At 38.4% G+C, this 24,875-nt stretch overlaps 1 protein-coding gene across 6 annotated transcripts in view, besides 1 other annotated feature; it reads left to right on the forward strand.

Annotated features, from left to right (window-relative positions):
• The window catches only part of PIK3R1 (phosphoinositide-3-kinase regulatory subunit 1), an 86,066-nt gene that overhangs the window by 43,131 nt on the left and 18,060 nt on the right, over positions 1-24,875 (forward strand). For all 6 annotated transcript variants that reach the window (XM_005248542.4, NM_181523.3, XM_017009585.3 and 3 more), the window contains 5 exons: positions 14,504-14,596; positions 15,053-15,127; positions 20,716-20,847; positions 21,642-21,843; positions 22,041-22,120. In XM_005248542.4, coding sequence (XP_005248599.1) covers positions 14,504-14,596; positions 15,053-15,127; positions 20,716-20,847; positions 21,642-21,843; positions 22,041-22,120 — 582 coding nt within the window. The remainder of the gene's footprint in view (positions 1-14,503; positions 14,597-15,052; positions 15,128-20,715; positions 20,848-21,641; positions 21,844-22,040; positions 22,121-24,875) is intronic.
• Positions 16,276-16,325: an enhancer, noted in NCBI's record as "active region_22630". NCBI's record gives its function as "activates an Ori minimal core promoter by ATAC-STARR-seq in GM12878 lymphoblastoid cells {active_cell/tissue: GM12878}" and the evidence as "EXISTENCE:reporter gene assay evidence [ECO:0000049][PMID:35858748]".

Below are 24,875 nucleotides of genomic sequence, written 5' to 3' on the forward strand. Positions count from 1 at the left end.
GCCTTCCAATAGAGTTAAGCTGTTTTTATCTAATACATGCTAACAGTAAAAGGACACAGACCCTCTTATTTGACCCTCTTAGCATCTAAGGAATATGATACTTTTTTTCTTTATACTTAGCTGTGTATTCAAAGCTAACACATTCTCTAAGTAACCAAGTTCACACTAAAGAAAAATTGAAGGCCATCCTCTAAAGCCATGCTGCTCAGTGCAGGAGCCACCAGCCACATGGTCAAAGCCACACAGAGCCACTGAAAGGTGGCTGCTATAAATTGAGATGTGTTATGAGCATAAAACAAGAGAGAAATGAAGACTATCTGCTTAATAATTTTTATATTGATTATATGTTGATTATATTTTGGATATGTGGGGTTAAATAAAAGATTAAATTTCACCTTTTGTTTTTGCTTGTGATGTGGCTACTAGAAAATGTAAAATTACATGTGTGGCTTACAGCGAGACCCCACTATTTACAGGGCACTGAAAGTCATTCTTCCTCTTAATTCCTCATCTAAACTCTACTCATTGACTATTTTGTGTATCTGCATCTTTTCTTCCAAAATGAATGATCAGCTGCTAGAAGGCATGACTATGGAAACAGTGTATCTTCTACTGTGATTTTTCAAGAGTGAGGAAGTTTGGCTATCACCATGGGCGTGAGGAGAGGGGTTCTGTTCTCATTTGGTAAACATACACCAGATATGCTAAACATCCCATAGAATATCTTAGACAAAGAAAATTACAGTAAGTAGAGAAATGGATCAAAGAGTGGCTATTCTTGGACTCTCTACTTTCCAGGTCTTTTTGGCTAGAGAACTCTTTTTCTAACTTTGTTGCCTGGCTCTTGGCAGTCAATGTCCAAAGTAGTGCATTGAGCTGCCCCCCAAAAGGGGCACAGTTTGTAAGGAAACCATATGCCCTATGGGACCTCATGGGATGACACTCAGTTAGTACATAAGGATCTCTTGGAAGGGAGCTGCCTTTATGTCCTCTAAACCAGGTCATCTCTTATCAGTTAAATCCTGGTGCTGACTAGTACAGCTATATGAGCCTGGACAAATCACTTCTGAGCCTGTTTTTCCTCTCTGTACAATGACAATGATGATAGAACCTTTCTTATAATGTTATGAAAGATTATATTTTCTGAGATAATTTTAGTAAAGCAACGTAGCATAGAGCCTGATACATGTTAAGTACGTTGTGTATATTGGCCATGATTATTATTGGCTTCTTGGTAATGAAAGCATCAAATACTAAGGGCAGCTTTTAGTATATTATTTCTGATCTTGTGTGATCAGAAATACCACATTTTTGAGAATGTATTATTTTCCAAAGAATTAAATGACTCTCAGAGGGGAATGGATAAACCCACAGAGGTTCTGGAAATGGAGCAGTTTCCTGTAAGTATCATGACTTCCAATTAAGCCCCTTTGTCTGTTTTATCCCTGTCACTTGTACTCACTGTGTAGATCATGAGCTAATTTTGCTTGGACTCTCCCCTCCCGCCATCTCTTAGAGCCCAGCAGTGCTGTGCATGCATGGGTTAAAAATTTCAAACTGTCCAAATGAATTGCATTTATTGGCAATTTAATGCTGAAACTCAAAGAGGGAAAAGAGGAGAAAAAAAATCAAAGATGAAGTGGAAAGACAAGGGCCCTTGGATGCAGCCGGACAGAGGTTGTAATATCTGCTCTGCCAAACACTAGTTAAGTGATCTTGGTGTAGTCACCAAACCTCTTGAGTCTCTTTCCCACATACAAAATGAGGTTGATGTGTTTCACAAGGCTGTTATCATGACTCAAGGAAATAACCTAAATGACTAGGGCAGTGACAGTTCACCTCTCTCTCTTCATATTGCTCTCAATTTCATGATCTTCTTCTCCCCGCAACCCCATGATTTATAGAAGCCAAATTACGTTCTCTGATTTATAGCTGTTGTAACTTTGGAATACATTTAAGAACATGGAATTAGTTGTCTTTTGTTAGATCCACATACAGAAGTCACAGAAATGTTTTCATCATTTTGAATTTTACTGTTCATTCTGGCAAAGTGAAAATGTATACCAAAACACTATTTTAAACCACCTATCCCCTGGGTTAGAAATTATAAGTTAGTGTAGCCCAGTGAAGTATAATTAAATGTTGCCATTCTCCCATTTATTTAACTTCCTTCCCTCCATATTTGAAGTAATTTTCGCTTGGTGCCAACTCCAGTCATTCTCCAGATGCCTGTGATTTCTTCCAGATTTTCAACACACAGTGGCTAAAGATAATATAGAATTATTTTTTAAGTAATTTGTGATTAAATGTAAATTTAGTAATTTTATGTTGGGACATGTGATCTCCTTGACATTTTCTCCAAAACACAGAATTTAAGCACTAGAAATGATTTTAGGACATCTAGTTAAACCATTACCACTTCACTGTTATGACAGTGAGGCCTGGAGACATTAAATGTTTTGCCCAAAGTTACCAACATGTTGTTGGCAGAAAAATCTGGAACATATGGCCTCATCTATTGTCTAAATTTTTTCTACTAGTGCACAGTGCCTTTTCAATTGCTTTTTATTTGATAATAGTGACAATCATAAATAGGGGATTTAATCAATACTCTTTTAAAAAAAAAAGTCACAGAAAGAAAGCAATTGTATTGAAAACCCCTTTCTAGTTTTTCCAGTAGGTTACATTAAATGGCCCCAAAAAGTAATTTATGGGCTAAAATGAATGTCTTCAGAAGGCTAACATAAAAGATGACCAACAGGGGGAAACCTGAAACAGCCTTTTAGGTAATTTGCTTAACTTCTAGCCCTTTTAAAAAAATTACTCAAGCTCATGTTAGAGCCAACAAAAAACATCTGTTGTTTTATTTATAGCCACAATTTCTAAGAAGCATATTCTATAGCAGATGAAAAAGTAGTTGACAGCTTATAATTCATAAAGTTACTGAGGCCTAATCTGATAGAACAAAATGTACAAACTCCCTCCCGTGGTTCAGACCCTATCCCTTCCCTTTCTGCTGAAGACAGAAATGGTGCAACAGAGGAGTGGAGCATAGGTTATTACGGTTGTTAAGGAAGAGGCGACTCTGAGATGATAATGCAGAAAGGAGTACCCCGCAGTGATAAATGATTGCTTTCACCTCTGGGCCATCCACCAGCCTGAGTCACTGCTACTTTTTCATTAACATTGTATGGACTTTCATTATAGGAAGCCAACATTTTGCTGTGTTCAATCTACAGATTGTTAACAGCGTATTTCCATCAGGAATCTAAAGTGTTAATTAAAACGACTGATTGAATAGTTCCCTCTCTGAGGGAAGCTTTTAGTTTGCCCCTTCCTTTCACCAGTTAGCTGTAGTCTATATTGACATAACTTTCTCCCTGCTGACTCTTAAGCAATTATTAGAATTCACTCATTACTCAAATATCACCTCTCTGTATCTGTTGGCTTATTTCTGAGAATCTTTTTGAGAACATGACCAGGCTTCTTTCTATAATTTTTATATATATATATATATACACACACGCACACACACACATACACTACATATATATGTATGTAGAATACATATATATATCTATATATGTACATATATATCTATATGTATACATATATCTATATATGTATACATATAGATACATAGCTATATAGATACATATCTAATGTATACATGTATACACATGTACCTACATGTATACACATGTATCTGCATGTATACACATGTATACACATGTAGATGCATGTATACACATGTATACACATGTATCTGCATGTATACACATGTAGATACATGTATCTGCATGTATACACATGTAGATGCATGTAGATGCATGTATACATATATACATGTAGATGCATGTAGATACATGTATACATATATACATGTAGATGCATGTAGATACATGTATACGTAGATACATGTATACATGTAGATACATGTAGATACATGTATACATGTAGATACATGTAGATACATGTATACATGTAGATACATGTAGATACATGTATACATATATACATGTAGATACATGTAGATACATGTATACATATATACATGTAGATACATGTAGATACATGTATACATATATACATGTAGATACATGTAGATACATGTATACATATATACATGTAGATACATGTAGATACATGTATACATATATACATGTAGATACATGTAGATACATGTATACATATATACATGTAGATACATGTATATAGATACATACATAGATATATAGATACATAGATACATATATATTTATATATGTACATATATCTACATATATATCTATATATACATATATCTACATATATATCTATATATATATTTCTACATATATATCTATATATGTAGAAATATATATATATTCTACATTTTAGTTCTGCTATATCTATAGGGCCTTCTGTATATCACAGTTTTGTGTGTTGTTGTTTTTTTTTAAGTGCATTGGTTTGGCACAAATAACTATAGTACTATTTATTATCCTGAGCTTTTTTGAGAATGTAGTGATAGGGTTCAACATCTGCCCAAATTGACCCATCTAAAATTATAATTCTAAAACCATAACCAGAAGAAGCCCATTAATTTCTTTAGTAGAGAGGTGAGTAGCCTCTTGTTTATTTCACTACTGATCATAGTCTATTGTGAGATATGAAGATGTATTAGCCCACCAGAATTAATCACCTTTGTCTGAAGTAGTGAAAGTATATTGCTTCATTTTGTTAAACTCTGATTCCTTACACAATTGTTAAGGATTGTGTTTACTTTTATCTCAAAATTGTTACCTTTTAATATATATAGTCTTATATCAGTGATCTTTTCAAACTTTTAAAATGAAGTCTGAATAAATATTATTTTCTTATGCATTTCTTCTGCACCAGCTGATAGGGAATTTTCTGTACAATGTTTTCAGGCCTCTTGCCTTTCTTGCCTTTATTTTTCTCTGCAATTCCACACACAGGTCATTGCTTTCCCTTCCTCTCCCTTTTTGATCATGGATGCTTCAACTCCCTTCATATATTTGTTAAGCATATTTTACTAAGATTTCATTTTGTGATGCTTGCAAATATACATTACAAAATATATATTTTTAAAAAGTGATTTGAAGGGCCCTCTGTCCATCTGATGATTAACTAGAAGAGTCTTTTGTACCTTGCTAAAAGTGATAAGTTAGCCAGCTATATTTAGCTGGATAAAACCCATTACATCCTTGGGGAAGAATGTGCTTTGTTTAGCTTTATGAGAAAATATTTAATAAATGCTGTCTTGAAAATATTTAGCCTGGCTGAGTGAGCTGGCAAGGCTTCAATACTGATAAAGCAGAGGTGATGGTGAAAAGCTGGCCTGCCAGTCCAAGCTCAAGTTAAAAAAATGCACCTCTTGTCACTAAGGGTTGCAACTGTCGCCAAGTGCTTGTCCATCAGTGTCACGTAAAGATTTTTTAACCTCACATATGGCATCATGCAGTTTGTCTGCCTAAAAAGGCAACCTAGATTCACAGAGTGGTTACAATTGGCTTTGAAGTCCCATCTGTTCTGTAAAATCCTAGCTTTATTTCTTACTGCTGGTATGACTTTAGGTAACTTGTTTAATTTTTCTTAATCTCAGTTTTCTCATCTGTAAAATGGGGACAGTGATAATTTCTTAGAGCGTTGTACAGATTAAATGAGATTAAACGCTGAGCAGAGTTTCTTACACTAAGTGTTCACTACATGGGAATTAATCAGCAGTAGTAGTGATTTGTAATCAGCCTAACATTTTCTGTCCCTCCCTAACTCCTCCCACCCCACAGGAGATACAAAGAGCAAAGTCCTCTTGAATGTGGCGAGGTAGGAAAGGCTCTGGCATGGGCATCAGGAGGCCTGGGTCCTCGGCTTGAACTTCCTGTGGGACCTTGGGCAAGTTGTGGCTCACATAATCCCTCCCCACTCATCAGTACACAGTGCACAGGGCAGCAGAGCTCCTGGCTGCTAGTCTCTCTTTTGATACCTAATTCGTTGTGGTATCAGACCAAATTTGATATGATAGCTAGACCCGCCGGTCCGTCAGTATCATTTGGGGTCTGGTGTAAGATCAGCCTGTGAAACTCAGGCATGTAGGCAACAAGTTATCAGTAAGAAGGTCAATCATTGGGATTCTGTCTCCCACAATGGTCTGGATTTTCTCTCTGTGGCTGGTGGGCTCAGCCCCAATCCTTGCTACTCAAAGTGTGATTGTGGTCCGAGGACCGGCAGCATGGGCATCACCTGGGAGCCTGTTGGAAATGCAGAATCCCAGACTGCACCCCGACCTCCTGAATCAGGCTGTTAATATGTACATTAAAGTTGGGGAACCACTGCCTCAAACTACTGCCCTTGGGAATATTCTGACACGCAGAGGGTATTTATTTACTAAATACTTACAGAATTTGTGTTTGACATTGACATTTTCTAGACAAGGTTCCATTCCTCTCTTTGGGTGTAGTGTACTGATGTGTTAGGTCAGGGTTACCATAACAAAACACCACAGACTGGTGTTTATGTCTGTACCACCATAGACATTTAGAAATCTATTTCTCACAGGGTGCCAGTGTGGTTGGGTTCTGGTGAGGGCCTTCTCCCTAGCCTCCAGGCTGCCACCTTGTCACTGTGATCTCACATGGGAAGGGTGGGGAGAAAGGTCTCTGGTGCTGCTTCTTATAAAGGCACTAATCCCATCGTGAGAGCACTTGCCCTCATGACTTCCTGTAAACTCAGCTGCCTCCCAAAGGCCCATCTCCAAATATTATCACATTGAGGGTCAGGGCGTCAACATGAATCTGGGGGGAAGGGACACAATTCAGTCTGTAGCAACTGACTTCCACATCTGACTTTAAAATGCATCTTTAAAAAAAATGTGCTGGCAGATAAATATGTAAATAAAGCAAATATGAAAATGTTAATCGTAGAATCTAGGTGAAAGATAATGTGGGCGTTCACTAAACAATTCTTTCAACTTTTCAGGATATTTAAAAATGTCAGAGAAAAAACCCCCTACTCTCTATAGTTATTTAAAAGGAATCTGGTGCTGCTTTTTTCTCCTTATTTCCATCCAGGCTTTCTTAAGAGTGCTTGTTCGGTCTGGCTGGACAAACTTGCCTTTTTGGCAGTTTCTCTCTCTCTACCCACTCACTTTCTCCTTGGTCAGCCAGTGGCCTGCTTCTGCACTGTCAGTGAGGTCCCAGCCTGGATCCAAAGCTTCTTTCTGGTCTCTAGTCTGCCAGTAGCATCTTTCTGTCCAGTTCCTCTCCATCCCCCTGCCCTCTCCTAATACTAATCAGGGGATCCTTCAATTGCTTGTGACATCGCAGCTTCTCAAGTTACATTTTACAACTCTGCTTTATTATTTTTAAGCATTTCTAACATGACATTTTATAAGTTTGACTCTGAAATTTATCATCACATGTAAGTAGGAAAGAAGTGTCTCCACAAGTTTGCCCTCAGCCAGAGATAGTGTGGTTCATCTGGAATGCCCCTGCCTTTCTCTGGTTATTAATAGGGGCTCCTATTGCTTTTCCATTTACAGTGTTAATTATCTGCATTTCAAAGTAGTTCATAATGAGAGGGAATATATTAACTTGTTATTTGGGGAGGAAGTACAAAAACTGCTATTATCAAGATCATTTAACTTGAGCATAATCAGAAAGTATTAAGGTTATTCCCTTGTGGGATTGACCATCAGATATCTGTGTGTTTCATAACACCCTTATTGCAGATACCTTTTAAAGAAGGGAGGCTTGCAGGAAGTGTTGGGAAACTTACTATAAGCTTCTTTCCTTGACTGGCACTTGTATACTCTGGCGCAGGGAAGACAAGCCCAAACTAAATACATAGGCATTACTTAAGAGCTTTGTGACATTGGACAAATAGTTTCCTTGCCTTTAAACTGGGGATAATAGAGACTATACACCTTTGAACTGCTATGAAAAATAAATGAAAATATTTCTGTAAAATACTTACTGTGGGAATGTGGCTCCTAGTTGATGTTCAGTACTAATCATTCATTCAGCAAACAGCCTACCGCCCACTGTGTGTCATGGCCTGTGATTTGTCTTTTTTCTTTTTGGGGGCTTCTGGGTCATACTTCGTATGAAATCTTTCTTAGCACACCGAAAGACCAACTTTCCTTATAAATCATTGGCTTCAAAAATCCTGTGGACTCAGGTATAAATTATTTTTCTGGTGAGGAGAGGAGGAAATCCCTTTCTTCCCCATTTACATCCTGCCTAGCTATTTTAATTTGCTGTACACCGTAAATTGTAATCTTAGAATCAAACTCCAATTTAGGTGATAAGGATCACAATTAATTAGGCTAGCCTGTCAAAGATTAAATGTAATCTTGCATTTCAGTTACCTCCTAACTCTGAGGCTTTAGCTAAGCCCGTCAGAAACAAAGCTGTTAGGTCTGCTTAGGTTTAATAAGATCTTTGCCTGCTGTTTGTTTTCTATACCAGTCTGTTGTCTAGAAATAAAACGAATGGACAGAGGATCTCAATTCCCTTTCATTTGTTTTTAGCTGTGCAGCAGGAGAGATAAATGAGAGAAGATAAACTTAACGATATTAAAGACTAATTAGGATATCTGAGGAGATTTGCAAACTTCTAGTTTAAATCTGTCGGCAACTCTTTTAATTCCCTCCTGCTAGTTATCTCTGAAAATAATGTAGTTATGGCTGAAGATTTATTTCCACATCTACTCTTTGTACTCTCATTTTCAGTTGCGCATACTTTTTTTCTCCTTCTTCCTCCAAAAAAAAAAGCTCTTGTTTCGGCCACACTCAATATAATTTAGCACACAGTCATTCCAACTTCATTTTGTCTTCACATTCAGAAAACTGAAGTCTAATATCTCAAATATATTAGTATTGTGGTCCTTTTGGGGAAAGTATGATAAATTGAAAATATTTTGGTTTTGACTTCTGAAGATTTTGAGTATTGTTTATATATACAAAGGCAAAATGCAAATATATACAAGGCAAAATGCAAATGTGCTTCCAGCTTGCTTCCTTAGAAAAGTATTGAGAACAGTCTAAGTATGATAATTTCTGGTCTTAAAACCTGCAATTGCAATCGGGTATTTCCATAATCTAAACAATAATAAAGATTACATGACTAATTCTAACAATAATAACTACCTATTAGTTTGTGCTTTCTACATACTGGGCACGATGCCTGTCATGTTTATATATATATATTATTTAATCCTTATTACTGCACATAATTACTCCCATTTTACAGATGAATAAATGGGATTCAAGTTAACTAACTTGCCCAAGACTACTGAATTCAGTAAGTGGCAAAGCAAGGATTAAAACCTAAGCCTCTTTGGCTTTAAAGCTCTGCTTCTAATCACTTTTTTACTACTGATTAAACAGATGTGTCCCAAAATTAAGGAAGTCATCGTTGTTTTTTTTGCTTTGTTTTTGCTTAGTCAAAGAGCACAGGCCATCATTTGTTGTAGTGTCACCCGTAAAGCTTAATAAGTTTAAAGTTCAGGGTGTTAATCATTACAAGCATAAAGTATGAATATGCTTTAAAGGTTTATTTAAGAAAAGAATTGGGATTAGATTTGCCCACCAGAATATACATTTTTCACTTGAAGTCCTGAGAGAGATTCAGACAGAAACAGCTTTGACTCAGCAGCAGTTAGCAGACAAACATCTTGATATAATACTGATCCACACTTTGCATATACACTTTCTTTTCTTTGTATTACATTTTTAGAGGTAAGTGGCAGTTTTTCACACACTTCCAAACTGCTTCCATCAGTAATGAAATATTTGGCTTGGGCAGCCTCTGGAGTCCCAGTGTTTCAGCTTAAACTTTCCAGTGGGCCCTGCCAGGCACTAACTTCAAAATATCTTTTTTTATGGTGAATGCCTCCAGAAGGTGCAACTGTGTGGTGGTTTCATTTTGCACTTCATAACGGTGTTGGCATCACTTAATGCAAAGAATGCCACTGTCTCCCACACACCGCTGGTGCCCAAGGACTGTCGAGGCCTGTCCATGTTAGTGGTTTGGGAAGGGCTGAAGTTTGGAGAGAAGGCTCTTTTTCTATTCCATGTGATTGGCTGTCACCAGGGCAAAGGGGGAAAACTAGAACGAGTGGAAAATGCAGCATCGGATGTGTCATCAAATATTCTTCCTACAACCTGGGACACCTAGTTCATTGGTGTTCTGGTCAACATTGAAGGCTGAATCCTCCTTTCTTTTGAAATAATGCGTGTCTTGGATTCACTACTTTTAAACCTTTCTGCTGATCTTTATCCTTTTCTTCCTAAGCAATACTGATTTCTTTCAATGAAAAATGATTTAGCTAGTGAAAAACTGGGATTGGGTTGTAGTAAAGGAATCAACAAATTTGCCCAGATTCTTAAGAGTGGAGTTGGTTCTCCACACTTATACACTGTGCTACAGCAAGCTTCACAACCAAAACCCATTACTTATTCAGGTATAAAAATCAAAAGCTGAACTGTAATGAGAATTTAAATGTAAACTGTTGGAGGATGGTGCTCTGTTAATTTGTGTTTGCTCCATACCCCACCCTATATAATTGATAATATTTGCATCTTTTTGTTTTTAGTACTATTATTTTTTGGTTTATCAAACTTTGTAACATGGTGCTTTATTGTGGACTTTTCAAAGAACACCTTGCCAAATTTGGTAATTCCTAGCAATTGTCATTTCCTGTTGGAATTTCTTAAAGTGGAATCTAATGGAAAAGTAATTCTTGACCTTGTGTATTTAGTAAAATTAAAGGCATAGTTGATTTTAGGATTGTCATAAAAATTAATATTTTGTTTTAAAAGACTTTTTAGACTTTCAATGCTAATTGATCCTATTGTTGGAAGTAGATGATATAAACTTTAAAGCTTTTTGGGTAGAACTTTCACATTCACCATGTCTAAATATTTTAAAGAGGAAATGGATTGACTCGCAGACATTTTGTACTAAGGAATAGAAAATCTTTGAATTGCTATTTAAAAAAAAAAAAATCCCTGTAAAATTTACCATTTTAAACTCCAGTTGCAAAATCCTGATCAGCTATGATGATTCATACATTTGAGCGATAAAGCTTTTTTCAATATTACAAATTCAGTGGGGAGTCACTCAATACATTACAAAAAGAGTACTTACACTTCCTAGTACCCATGTGTATTTTTTTTTCTTTTTAAAGCAATCTGGTGTGCCTTTTGAGAAAAGTTCCAGTGTTCTCACAGATCCTGACTTGGTGTAGCACAGTGCTTTTCAGAAACTTGGTCCAACACCTGAATGAGTAATGTGTAAAACATATAATGTTTTGTAGCTCAGGATACTGCAGGTAAACTAACACTTTTTGCCGAAAAAACATTGAAAAGACAAAGGAAAGCAAGGAAGTTTTGCTTTTTTAAAAAATTTTTTCAAGCTTAATGAAGAAAGAGCTGGAAATCCTTTTGTATGGAGCATTTGCCAGCCCAGCAATATAACAACTTTTGGGTGCATATTTCAATCACAATTAGATGAAATCTTTAATTATCATTTAATTTGACTTTCATATTTGCCTGCAGAAATGATTGTGTTGATAAGACTCTGGAATGAGACAAACCTTTATTAAGTAATTCCATTTTCAGAGCCAACATTAAAGTTTTTTTTAATTAAAAAAATGCCTGTGTAATTTATGAGAAAAGGGGAAGAGGAATTGGCATGTTGGTTGCATGAGAGTTGCATGGATATGTATTTACTATTTAATCTTTAGCTTTTTGAGATTTGGGGTGTGCTAAGTCTTGTTAGTTTGAGGGGCCTAAGGAGTGACACAATAATGGATCTTAATAAATAACACTTTTCTACATCATTTCTCTACCTTTATATTTCCCTTCTATTATATATGCTGACAGGATGATATTTCATTGTATTCAGTGTAGAAGGTGTTTGTGAGAGAGGATACTTTTGTGAGTTGATATTAAGGCAAAGGGAAGTGGTTTATAATTTATCAGAGGAAATGAAATGGTGTGCTCTTTCATTTTATAATATTTCTTTTAAAATTTTATAATGCTTTTAATTGGACTGTGAAACCTTTAAGACATTTGTATTTGAAGTGCTTTTCAGATATATTTACATTTTAACATACAGGGATTTGAGAGATGTCATTGCTGGATTTTTTCATAGGATCACCCACATGAATTTTCTTATCAAAAGAGTATGTCCTAAAGCTTATTTCTAACCCCAAACAGGTTACTAGCCCATTCCTGGATGTTCCGATTCTGAAGATTTAGGGTGGTACCTGGGAATCAGTATTTCTAGCACGTCCTCCAGGTGGTGCTTAGCTCTGGCAAGTGTGGGAGAGACCAGAGAGAGGTGAAGTTCCCACCCAGCCCTCTGCACAGTGACTGGAAAGTTAATGGCCAGTCGTTTGTGCTTCTATGAAACCTAAGATGTGTTACAGTGATGTTGCAGTAGGACAAAGTCACTCAGGAAATCGAGTGGTAAACATTGCAGGGCTTTGAGTTCAAATATTGATTAGCTCTATGTTAAGATGCCTTGTCTTCAGGGATAGCTTTAGAGTGGGATCTCTAACACAAAGCTGACTCGGGAATCTTTCATCTGCCATTGACAAAATTTGCCCTTGTGCAGGCAAGTAAGACTATACTCTCTAATTTTATGGGCACTAGCCACCTATGGTTGTTTCCATTTAAATCAGTTAAAATAAAAAATTCAGTTCTTCACTGGGAATGGCTGCATTTTACTCAATAACCGCTGTGGCTAGTCATTGCTTTATCAGAGAGCACAGCTGTAGAACATTTCCATCATCACAGAAAGCTCTAATAGTGCTACTGTAGGATTTTCCCTCATAATATAGCTCTTCTCTTTTTATCCTGGGTAGTTGCAATGGCTAATAGAATTAGGTGGAAAGATCATGCATCCATCTATGTACTGCACATTGCATACTGAAATCTGAAAGAATGTTTTTGCAAAATGACTTAATCATACTTCTCTGAGATCAAAATTTAATAACATTACTTTCATAACGTGAATTTGTTCTATGTTGACTTTTAGTACTTGAAATACAGGCTTAATTAAAAATTTGTTGGCCAGGTGCAGTGGCTCACACCTGTAATCCCAGCATTTTGAGAGATTGAGGTGGGTGGATTGCTTGAGTCCATGAGTTCGAGACCAGCCTGGGCAATATGGCAAAACCCCGTCTCTACTAAAAATATACAAAAAATTAGCTGGGAGTGATGCTGTGCACTGTAGTCGCAGCTACTCAGGAGGCTGGGGGGGGAGGATCACATGAACTCAGGAAGTTGAGGCTGCAGCGAGCCATGATCACGCCACTACACTCCAGCCTGGGTGACAGAGCGAGACCCTGTCTCAAAAAAAAAAAAAAAAAAGAAAAAGGAAATTTGTTTACCATAGTATATGGCTTCTAATAAAGAGCTATACTGGTAAAATCTCACAGAAACAAAATTGCAAATATTTAGTCTTTCTCAGATTATATAAATTATTCCTAGAAAAGACTGCAAGCAATGAGGCTAATAAACAGGTTGTACTTATATTTTCATAATGACTTTAATTTACCTTTATTTTGCAGTTTCACAAATTTAAGATGAATATATTTAGCTCCCTCTTCTGGCATAATTTGAGAATTTTTTTGCTTACAATGGTCTTATTTATTTTTTTTGGACTGAGAATAAGGTTATCAATGTAATGTTGAAGAATGTTATTTATGAGTGTCATCCAGTTAGATTTTTTGGTATCATTGTAAATGGTTAAAACGCATGCAAAAAGTTTACGAAAACACCACATTTTAAAAACTACTAATTGACCAAAAAATACATAAACAAAGGCTTTGACAAAGTTATACAGAAATTTATTTTGATATCAAGTGGGCAGTGATCATTCATATTGGCTTCTGGATCTGAGACTCAGCCCATACCTGGCATTTGTGAGGCTTGGGGCAAGAATGCAAAAAGAGGCCCAAGTACCCTGTGCCTAAGTATTTTTGTTATAAATCATGTCAACTGTTCAATAAAATCTGTCCCATCCTTTCTAGGCAGTTATTTCTTCCTAATGACCAGGAGGAGAGATCTGAATTCAGGTTCTTGGGCTCCTGAGAGTTCTGCCCTAGAGTGTGGTATTATGGGGAGAGCTGGATCCTGGTTCATCCCTGGCTTCTCCCTGCACATCCAAACTCCCATCCATCCTGCCACTCCCCCCACCTTTGGGGCCCAGGGGTGTACCTAGACAGGGGGGTTTGTCCTGGGGAGGGTGGACCTGGGGGAAAGGCCATAAGAGGCCATTTAGCAGGAAATCCTGGAGCATTACTCTGAGTAGACCCTAGGTGAGAAGCAGTGGGCATATCACTTTGGCCTGGAAAGTGCAAAAGCCCAGAGCAGGGGTTCTTCTTGCTCGGGCCTGATGTAATTAAATTATTTTGTACGTCCTTCATTGTGGTCTAATGCATTCAACTATCCAAATTAAATACAATGGTGGGATTTTGTTGTTTGCAGCTTTGACTCTCCCGGATCTTGCAGAGCAGTTTGCCCCTCCTGACATTGCCCCGCCTCTTCTTATCAAGCTCGTGGAAGCCATTGAAAAGAAAGGTAACCAGACTGCTAGAGGGCATCAGTTCCTTTGTTCTACCCTTATTTCATGGCTCTTATTATTTGTCTCTTGTGCATTCATTAAGTAAATTTCCTACTACCAGCTATGTCCAGATACTCTGCTGGACACTCAAACTGTTTGGGGCTAAGTACTGGGAAAAATGTCTCAGTCTATAATTTCTAACTCTAGATTATCATGTAGTTTCCATATGGAAACTATTAAATTCTTCATAATTTAATAAATATGATTAACTTTCTTCTTAGAGGCCAGATGGTTTTGCCAAAATTATCAACATGCCAGGTAAGATTAATAGTAGGAGTTGACTTCCAAGAATATTTGGTACACATCTAGAACAGATACTGGATGGAAACTGGAATGTCTCTGGCAGCAGCCTCACAGGTTCTCCAGAGAGCTGTGTTTTGCATACATGGTCTGTGGTCTGTTTTGTGTCCTAGGTCTGGAATGTTCAACTCTATACAGAACACAGAGCTCCAGCAACCTGGCAGAATTACGACAGCTTCTTGATTGTGGTGAGTGTCACAGAGCTAGAAATGCAAATGGGAAAGACAGGTCTTGGCTTTCTGTTTCAGGTAATGCACACACACAAAATTGAATTTAATCTATGCAGTGTTCTAAATTTAAAGGGAACTCAAATCATGTACAGTTCTCCCTGCCCTGTTATGGTAACAGTGCAAACCTTTGAAATTTTTCTCCTGAGTTGGGCTGCAAGTGTGTGCACGCCTCCCTGCAGGCATGTTGGTCATCATCATAGCCATCAGGCCCTGGGTCCTGCAGAGGAGAGAAACCACCTCTTGGTGTTTCTCTCGCTCTGTGTATCTACCATCTTTCCTTGACCCTGAATTTGGCTACATCTAATTCATCTGAATCAATTAAAAAATATTTTTAAGCCTATGTCACTTAAGAAATGTCTCTTCTGACATCCTTTTTCTTTTATTACCTTTCCCTTCCATTTTCCTTTTCCGTTTCCCTTTCTTTCTGGCTTGCCTTCTTTCTTTTTTTGTGTTGAGTGCATTAAGTAACATCACGATATTGTTATGTTCAGTGGTGTGCTGATAAACCAACTCTCTAGGAAGAAAAAGGCCCTGGTTTGTAGCATCTGCCCATTTTTGTGGCATGAATATTCCCACCGGGGCTTATTTCAAGCTAACCAACATGATGTCACTGGATGTGGAATTGGGAAGAATTGAGGACAGTTTGTTAAATAACACTAATTAATTTAGCCAAGAGGGCTTTAGTACCCCAAACACCCACTCCCTCCTTTGGCATAGATGAAAAACTACAAATCAATTTACTTGCCAGCATTCCAGCAAGTCATCTTCTTATAAATCTTTCAAGATCCTTCATTCCCTCATAACGCTTAAAAAAATTATATACTGCCTCACATCATTTTAACTGAAATTAGGTGTTTAAGCCAAAAAGAGTGAAACTCAGTTTTGGACTCCGTCAGAGGTATAATTGTACAAAGAATGCCCACATGACAGTAAATGAGAATTTGAAGCATGAGGCAGTTTCAAAATGAGGCAACTTCTGAGACTTTTAGAAAAGAGGTTTTTTTGGAGAAAAGGAGGAGACTAGACCTTTATCAGTATCAGTAAATTCTTACACTTGAAATGTTCTGACCAGATGTTTCAAAAGTTAAAAAAATGTTTAACTCCATTTTTCCTTTGTACATGGAAATCAGTTGCATGCGAACAGAGCATATCCTCTTTGCTGCTCTGCCTCCTGCACTTCCCACAGAGCAGGTCATTAGAAGTTAACATGCAGAACACTCAAGGTGAAAAGGCTTGTTTTTCGGTGTTTCTGACAGCTTTATCAGGGCTTTAAGGAAACGCTGAATTTTGTCCTTAGCCAATTGAAATGAAGACACATGTTTGGGTCAGAAAATTGGTCAAATTATGAACACGTTTAGTCACAGGAAGAGTTTAGACATCAGAGCCCGATGAAGTGGAAGTTATTTGAGAAATAGTGGTTAGGTTTATAATGTGATCAACACAAAATGATGCAGTTTAGTTATTTAAAAAAAAAAAAAAACTCTTCACACCACTCGTGAGATAGAGTCAACAACCAAGATTCACGTCAATGGTACATTTTGACCAACAGGTTTCCTTCCCCAGTGAGATCAAAACACATAGAAAACTGGTTTCATTTGGAGTCTGTGCTAAAAAAAAGTGAAATTTGTGCCCCACCCCAAAAAATATAAATAAATAAATGATGTCCAAACTTGGGAGTGGATCTGCCAGATCTGTTTCCAACTCAAAGATTTTTCAATACATAAAAACATTGTATAATATCCTGGAGGAAGCTCCAAAATAGTCACTTACACCTAAAAAAAAAAATTATGGCTTTTAACTAACCTTGTGAATTACCAGTCTTTGAAAAGGACAGACATGGCAGACAATAGCCCACTTTTATTAGCACCTGTTATGCTAGTTCATCCATACATTAACTTTGTGATGTATGTCCTAGTAACTTTAACTCACCAGAAAAGAAAGCTGACCCTCAGGTAAATAATTTCTTTCACATTTTTCAGTGCCTTAGTGGCTAATTTTTCTGACTCCAAAAGTCCTTGATTTTTTTCTCTTTTTTAATTTTGCCCTAAAATGAATTGTTTCTTTGTCTCATGCAAGTTTTAATGATTCAGATTTTCACCTGACAGTTTTTGGTTTCATTTAACCTAATTCAGGCTTTCTTAGCCTTGGTACTATTGACATTTTAGGCTGGATAATTCTTTGCTGGAAGAGTGGGAGCTTGTCCCGTGCATTGTGGGAAGCTTAGCCACATCCCTAACCTCTACCCATGAGGTGCCAGCAGCATTCTCCCCCAGTTGTGACAATCAGAAATGTCTCCAGACATTGCCAGATGGCTCATGGCAGAGGGCAGGATCCCACTCCCACTGGGAACCACTAACCTAGGGAGAGACCTAAGGAAGAGGAGACTCCATTCCAGGGGGAGGGAGGGAGGAGTGAAGGGTTGGAGAGTTTACTGGGTACCTGTCATGAGTAGACTCAGTGAAAAGTGAGGTAGGAGAGAATGCAAACACCTCCAACCCAGACCTAAAGATTATGTAGCTCTTCAAAAGTCATCGCATGACAGGTAGGAATAGCTAATGGAAGAGCACGTTAGGCCAGTTTCAATGCAGAAAAGGATTCTTAGAGAGCAGAAGTCAGATAAATAGAACAGACTTTGTCACTAGCTCTAGTAGAATTTGACATAAGGTAAGGTTACCCAAAGACCTGCATAGGATAATTTTATTCATATACTATGAAAGTTCTTTTGATATACCTCATGTGTTGGAAAAGGGCTTTGATGAATTAACTTCACTTGTGGATTGAGCCTTCTAGTTCAATCCACAAACATTTAACACGTTGTATGTGCTGGACACTGAGGGATGCCAGAAGAGCAGGTGACAGCCACAGTCCCTGCCCTTGACGTACCTCGGTCTAGTAGGGAAACACATAATCCCACACTATGATTATACTCCTTGGGAAGTGTCTTGTTAGAGGGGTGGCTCATTAGCACTGCAGAAGCACAGAGGGAAACCCTGCCTGAGGGAGGGATGTGTGCATATTTATTATCTTAACGTTTATACTGCATCACCAAATGTTTTATCACATATTTTAGGATAAGCAAATTCGGTAATATTAATTTTCCGGGCAGAGAGACATTAGATGAAACATGCGGGGCAAAGTGTATGGGAAACCAGAAGCACGGCCAAGAGTGGTGACCATAGAGAATTCCTATAGCAGCACACACACAATTTTATTTGACAGTATTTAATTATGCTCACAATTGCATTACCTTCAACGTAGATCCTTTATGCAGAGGATCTACTACAGTGGTATTGCCCCTCCCACACTTGTTAAACATGTGATATGTCTCTGGTTGGTTGTTTGTAGGACATTTAAGTGATTTAACACTTCGCCTCTTCACCTTTTAAATTTAATAATTCTTTTCCTCAAGTTGACCTATCCATATCCTATTCCAGACCTACTTTTCTTAGAGCTGTGTGGTTGTGTGACTCACTTTCGGAACGTCGGCCTACCTAGTGGGGCAAGTTTGGTTTATGATGATATGTCCAAGGAATTTTTGTAGTCTTAGGCTCAACCTAGAATGATTTGTACTGTCATATTCCATTCAAGGTTATCTAGGATACTACCTTCTCCCACTCATTTATACTCAAACACTTTGCAGTAAACTTTCATACTTCCTCATTCTCTCCTAGGCCACAGCCCAATGCAGTCAATCACCGAGTTATATGAGGTCTCGATAATATTTTGTACATTTCTAACTGCATTAGAATTCAGACCCCCATCACCTTGATTCAGAGAACTAAATCTGGTAGTTTTACTTCTAGCAGCACTCCCTTCCAATTTATTCTTAACACTGTCATTAGTAAAGCTGTTACAAACGTAGTATCTTGCCCATCAGCCCACCTTTGCTCCACTGAGTACACAAGTCCCCAGATTACTTTCCTCAAGTTATCCTTCGCATTGCTAGTGTACATCCTTCAGCAGCAGCCAAAGTCCTCTCCTTTTCTAGAGGCCCATGGTCACCCCTGCCCCCAGATCTTTGTTTCTAGCATCCCTTTCTTCTGCTGGGCATTGTGTCTTTTTCCAACCCAAGTACTTAGAGTGCCATGCGTAGTGAGTGCCTGGAGGGTGGTATTGATTAGTTTTACCCCCATTATTGGATTGCTTGACCTGTTTCCCAGCTGAGGGATTTACTGGACAGGTATGCTCATCTTATTTTCTGAGATTGTCTGATATCCACAGGTTAGATTAGTAATACTCAGACAGAATTAGGGAGAAACATTCTAAAAATGTTCAAATTATTTTCATGGATATTCTTGAGATTGGTTGCTAAAAGTCTGTAGTATCTTACTGTTGAATCCATCACTCTGTTGGTGACATTTACATGAATTCTGAGACATATCAACTCAAGTCTTAGGAAATCTGGGAATATGCATTTTTAAATTTTTCCTGTTGAGGTTTTAGGAAACATTTACTATATGACTAACCATTCCTAGTTAGAACCCTTTTCAGTCAGGGCAGAACCACCCTCAGAGGATGTTAGGAAATGTTTGGGTTCTGTATTCGTTTGCTCAGGCAGTTATAACAAGTTACCACAGACTGCGTGGCTTAAAACGCAGAAACTTGGCCAGGCACAGTGGCTCACACCTGTAATCCCAGCACTTTGGGAGGCTGAGGCGGGTGGATCACGAGGTCAGGAGTTTGAGACCAGCCTGACCAACATGATGAAACCCTGTCTCTACTAAAAATACAAAAATTAGCCAGGCGTGGTGGTACACACCTGTAATCCCACCTACTCAGGAGGCTGAGGCAGGAGAATCGCTTGAACCCGGGAGGTGAAGGTTGCAGTGAGCCGAGATCACACCAGAGATGCACTCCAGCCTTGGCTACAGAGTGAGACTCCATCTCAAAAAGCAGAAACTTACTTCTCGTGGTTCTGGAGGCTAGAAGTCCGAGAAAAAAGCATGTTTGGTTTCCCCTGAGGCTTCTGTCCTTGGCTTGTAGATGGTCACCTGCTCACTGCATCCTCACAGCGTTTCTCCTCTGTGCCTGTGCATCCCTAGTGTGTCTCTCTCTGTGTCCTCATTTCCCCTCCTAGAAGGATATCAGTTACATTGGATTAGAGTCCACTCTAATGGCCTCATTTTAACTTACATGCAGTCACTTTCTGAGGCATTAGGAGTTTGGGCTTAGAGGGGTGGGACAGAGGATGGGGTAGGTAACCACTGAAGATGCAGCCCAATTCAGCCCATAACAAAGGCATTATTTTTTGTTGCCCCAAAGTGTGGAGGTCTGCTACTGGCATCATGGGCAGGGGGTCAGGCATCCTAAGTGCTTGCAATATGTCAGAGAGACCTCCACAGGAAAAATTGTTCTACCCCAAATGCCCGGAGCAACCCCTACAAGAAGTACGGCTAACGAATACTTTGTGTCTTGTATTTATCCTCATATTGCTTCCTTATTTTTTTTTTTTTTTGTCACATGTGAGTCAAATTGTTCAGAAAATTAGCCCAACTGATGTATTCTATAAAATAAATGTCTGAAATATTTCTTAAATTGTTTCCTAGATACACCCTCCGTGGACTTGGAAATGATCGATGTGCACGTTTTGGCTGACGCTTTCAAACGCTATCTCCTGGACTTACCAAATCCTGTCATTCCAGCAGCCGTTTACAGTGAAATGATTTCTTTAGCTCCAGGTTTGTTTTTTCTCTTCTGGGAACCTCATTGAACATACATGGAGATGTAGAGGTGCTTGTATATGTCTTGCATATATAGAAATAGTGGTTAGAAAATAGTAGTAATAACCTGTCCCTCCCCCAACAATACCACCTCAAATTTCCTCCTCCACCCAAGCATCCAAGAGAAGACCCAGATTCTCATTTGCTTGGGAAGCCCGTCTGCATGTCAGAATCAGAAATGGCTCATTGTTAACCTATTGGTCTTAACAAAGTTTGTACGTCAATGAAGGACACGGTCTTCCAAGTACTAGTGTCAGATTCAAGGAACTGGGACTAGAATCCAGTGATGGGGGATGTTCTTGTCATCTTTCCTGAGTGGCCATAACAGAATGTGTTGAGGGAAGATGGCTCTCAGTTTTAGGAGATAAGGTTCAGTTAAGTGCTTTGGGGACAGGAAACTGGTTCGTAACCTTCAAAGTTAAAACCTGTGATACTTATCTGATGCTCCTCTGAGTTAGCCAATCACACTTGAAGCTGCTCAATACTGGGTAAGTTGCTGCCAGCACACCCTGAACAGCTTGTGGTTTCTTTACACACTGAGCTTTTTGCATTTCCATTTGACCTGAGATTTCTACTTTCTCATAATGCGTTTTCTAATGAGAAGGACAAATGTACTGTGTGCTTCTCCCAACAACTTTTTAAATGACTCCTATAGCTTGAAGAAAGAGCAGAACTTTTCTAGGTGTTTATTCACTGATACCTGGAAGTAGTCGCTTACTCATTTCTCTTTTTTTTTTTTTTTAAACTTGTAGAAGTACAAAGCTCCGAAGAATATATTCAGCTATTGAAGAAGCTTATTAGGTCGCCTAGCATACCTCATCAGTATTGGCTTACGCTTCAGTATTTGTTAAAACATTTCTTCAAGCTCTCTCAAACCTCCAGCAAAAATCTGTTGAATGCAAGAGTACTCTCTGAAATTTTCAGCCCTATGCTTTTCAGATTCTCAGCAGCCAGGTAAGTGAAAGGAGACAAACATGTATTTTGGGGTGATGAGGGTAGTCCTAAATGGATTGGTCATGAAAATGTATTCTGAATATACTACTCCAGAGATGCATGTGCAGATGCTATCACACACATTCACTTGAGTGTATATAAATGAAAATGAGTTTGCTTTTAGGGAAAAGGTTTCTAATAAACTCTCTTTCTTACAGCTCTGATAATACTGAAAACCTCATAAAAGTTATAGAAATTTTAATCTCAACTGAATGGAATGAACGACAGCCTGCACCAGGTAATGCTTTTTGAGCATTTAACATTCTCTCATTGTTCATTTTTTAGAGCCTTAAAAAATGATGGCTATAAACCTCCTTTGAAGTAACACAGCTTCTTATGGAATTACAGTTGGTAGTAATATGTTACCTTGTGATTTAAAGAAAAAATAGCTGAGTGGTAGTGTATATGTTAATTATTATCCGAGTTTCAACATTTGTGGATTTTAAATTATCTTGGTTTTAGGTGAGAGTTTGGAGAGTTCCCTGTACCCTTCAACATTTATGCTTCAGGTTGTTGAAGAGATTTATGGAGTTCATTTTAGTTGTTGACATTTTTGTTTTTCTTTCTAATACTTACAAAGTAGGGGATTTATAATTACTATATAATTTAAAGTATTTTAGAATGTGTTTTTTGGAAGTGGGTATGCTGAGAAATGCCTGTCAAAATAAACATTTTCAATAATGCAAGCAGTATGAAACCAGTGTTCCCTGCAGCAAGTTCGAGCAAGCCAGACACTTCTTTGAAAGCAGGCTGCTGTTCAGTTAGCCATTTAACAAAGCAGGAAATGTAGACCATGTTAGCAATGCATTTAATTTAAACTGATGTATTTTTCTTCTACCGTGGAAAGTCTAAACAACCTCATTTTGCTATATACCAGTTAAAAGTTAGCTAATCGACACTGGTCATTTAGAATAGTAATTAGGGTACTATACGTGTGAAGTTTCAGGACCAGTAAAAGGTGTTGCTTGTAGTCTTAATTTATGCCTGGAACTTAAAATGAAACTCCATGAATATATTTATTATAGGTAATATATGCAGATTACCATATTTATCTCTGTATGAGCAGGCATGGGGACTCAGTTTCATCTTCATGCAATGGAGAGTTAAGTTGTGCTTTTTCTTAATTGGGTATTGCACAGCCAGGCTTGGTTACTTGCATCTGGATGGGGCAGCCTAAGAGAGGCCAGGGCCTAGACTCAAAACCCACCTGCAGCAGGTAGGATAGAGGATAGGGTAGGTAAACACTGAAGATGCGGGTATTGGGAAAGGTTTATGTGGACAGGCCCAAAATGTACCAAAGGTGAGAGAGAGGTATCCGGTATAGTAGATAAGGCAAGCATGGGATGTTCCAAATCACAGCAAGCAGAATGTTTTAACAGGGGTGCCCAGAATTCTAGGTAAACTACGTCAAAGAAGACTGTCAACAGGTAGGGACTAGGACTTCAGTCCAGGGGTTGGCCAAAAGGCTTCATCTCGTGTGAGTACACAGGTCACTGTGAATGGATTTGGGAGCTCTGTGCTGGTGTTCAGAGGCTGCCTTTGGACTTAGTGGAAAAGAATTGGGGTAGGGGTGTGGCACATGGCACTTAAGTTGAGGTTTATGTTAGAGACTAGGTAGAGCTGGACCCTGCTCTCAGTGAAGGGCTAGTGGGTAGTCCTGATCTTTTCAGTGGCCACTCCTCTAGAGAGAGGAGACACATGGAAGCCAAAGCCAGACAGGGTTTGACAGATACCCACAAATGAATTTATCACATGGAATTTTGGAGAATTTCTACTACACAAGGTATAGCAGAATCAGTGGTAGAGTTTGATTAGCCTGACTGGTGTAAACTAGTTAAACGCCTTTGTTAGTTTCATCCTAATTCCACCAAAGTAAAAACGGGTATCTGCACTATTTTCATAATGCCACCCGGAAAGCTGTTTGATATGTCAAAGGACCCTACATTTCTCTGCTGAGCAATTGGTGCGCCTGTTTCAAAGGAGGATTAGTTCCATCAGCTCTGCTAAAGGATGACAAAGCCTTGAACATTTGCTAGATCATCCCAGTATTTATGTGGCCTCTTAAAAAAAATTAAATCCAAGTCGGTTTTAAACTCTAGTTTGAGCCGTTTTCCCAGGAAGTTTGTGTGATTTGTATAGGACCTTTGGAATTAAATGGCTGTTTTAGTGTCTCTCATGTGTGCATACATTGTACTGCCCACTCCAGGAACAAAACGTCCCCATCCAGAACATCTTCGTATTCAGGAATGGCTCCAGTGCAAATGACTGCTATGGCAGCCTGGGTTGAAGAAATGATTCTTAGGCCTGGTTTAAAAAATGCAATAATTTCTTAGAGTCCTTCAGCATTGCCACAGCATGTGCTAGTACCAGACAGAACTTTGAAAGCACAGCACCTTACATCTCCAGCGAATGGCCATTTACAGTAACATTGTTGTGAACACAAATGAGTACCTGAATGATGTTTAAGGGAGACAAAAGCAAGACTCTGTTATAGGGCAGATAGACAGCATTTCTAATTATTACCAGATAGAACTTGAAATGACAAAGCTTATGATGTTTGAGGCAAAGTATCAGTTCAAATAAGAGCCATTAGCACATAGTATCTAATTAAATGCTAGGTGGGAGTACACATACTCTAAGTACAAAAAGAACTTTAGAAATGCAGCTGGTGACTTTCTAGGGTAATGGAGTAGACAGAAAAGGCTCATAGAAGAAATAGGGCTTGAAATGTGCCTTGAAGAATAGGTACAATTTGAATAGGCAAAGGAGAAATAGCATTTTGATGCATGGAGTTTAAAGACTTATTCAAAATAAATTACACAGTACAAAATAATGGCTTGGTATTTTACAAAAGCAGTACATATTTTAAGTGATAGTATCACAAAAAACATCATTTTAGAGTTGAAAGCATTGTCCAGCTTTACCAATTTGGACATGAGGAAACCGAGGCCCACAGATAGAGGTTCGCTCTGTGCTACCCGGCCAGTATGGGC

Source organism: Homo sapiens, chromosome 5 (genome assembly GCF_000001405.40).
Source record: "Homo sapiens chromosome 5, GRCh38.p14 Primary Assembly".
Taxonomy (NCBI): Eukaryota; Metazoa; Chordata; class Mammalia; order Primates; family Hominidae; genus Homo; species Homo sapiens.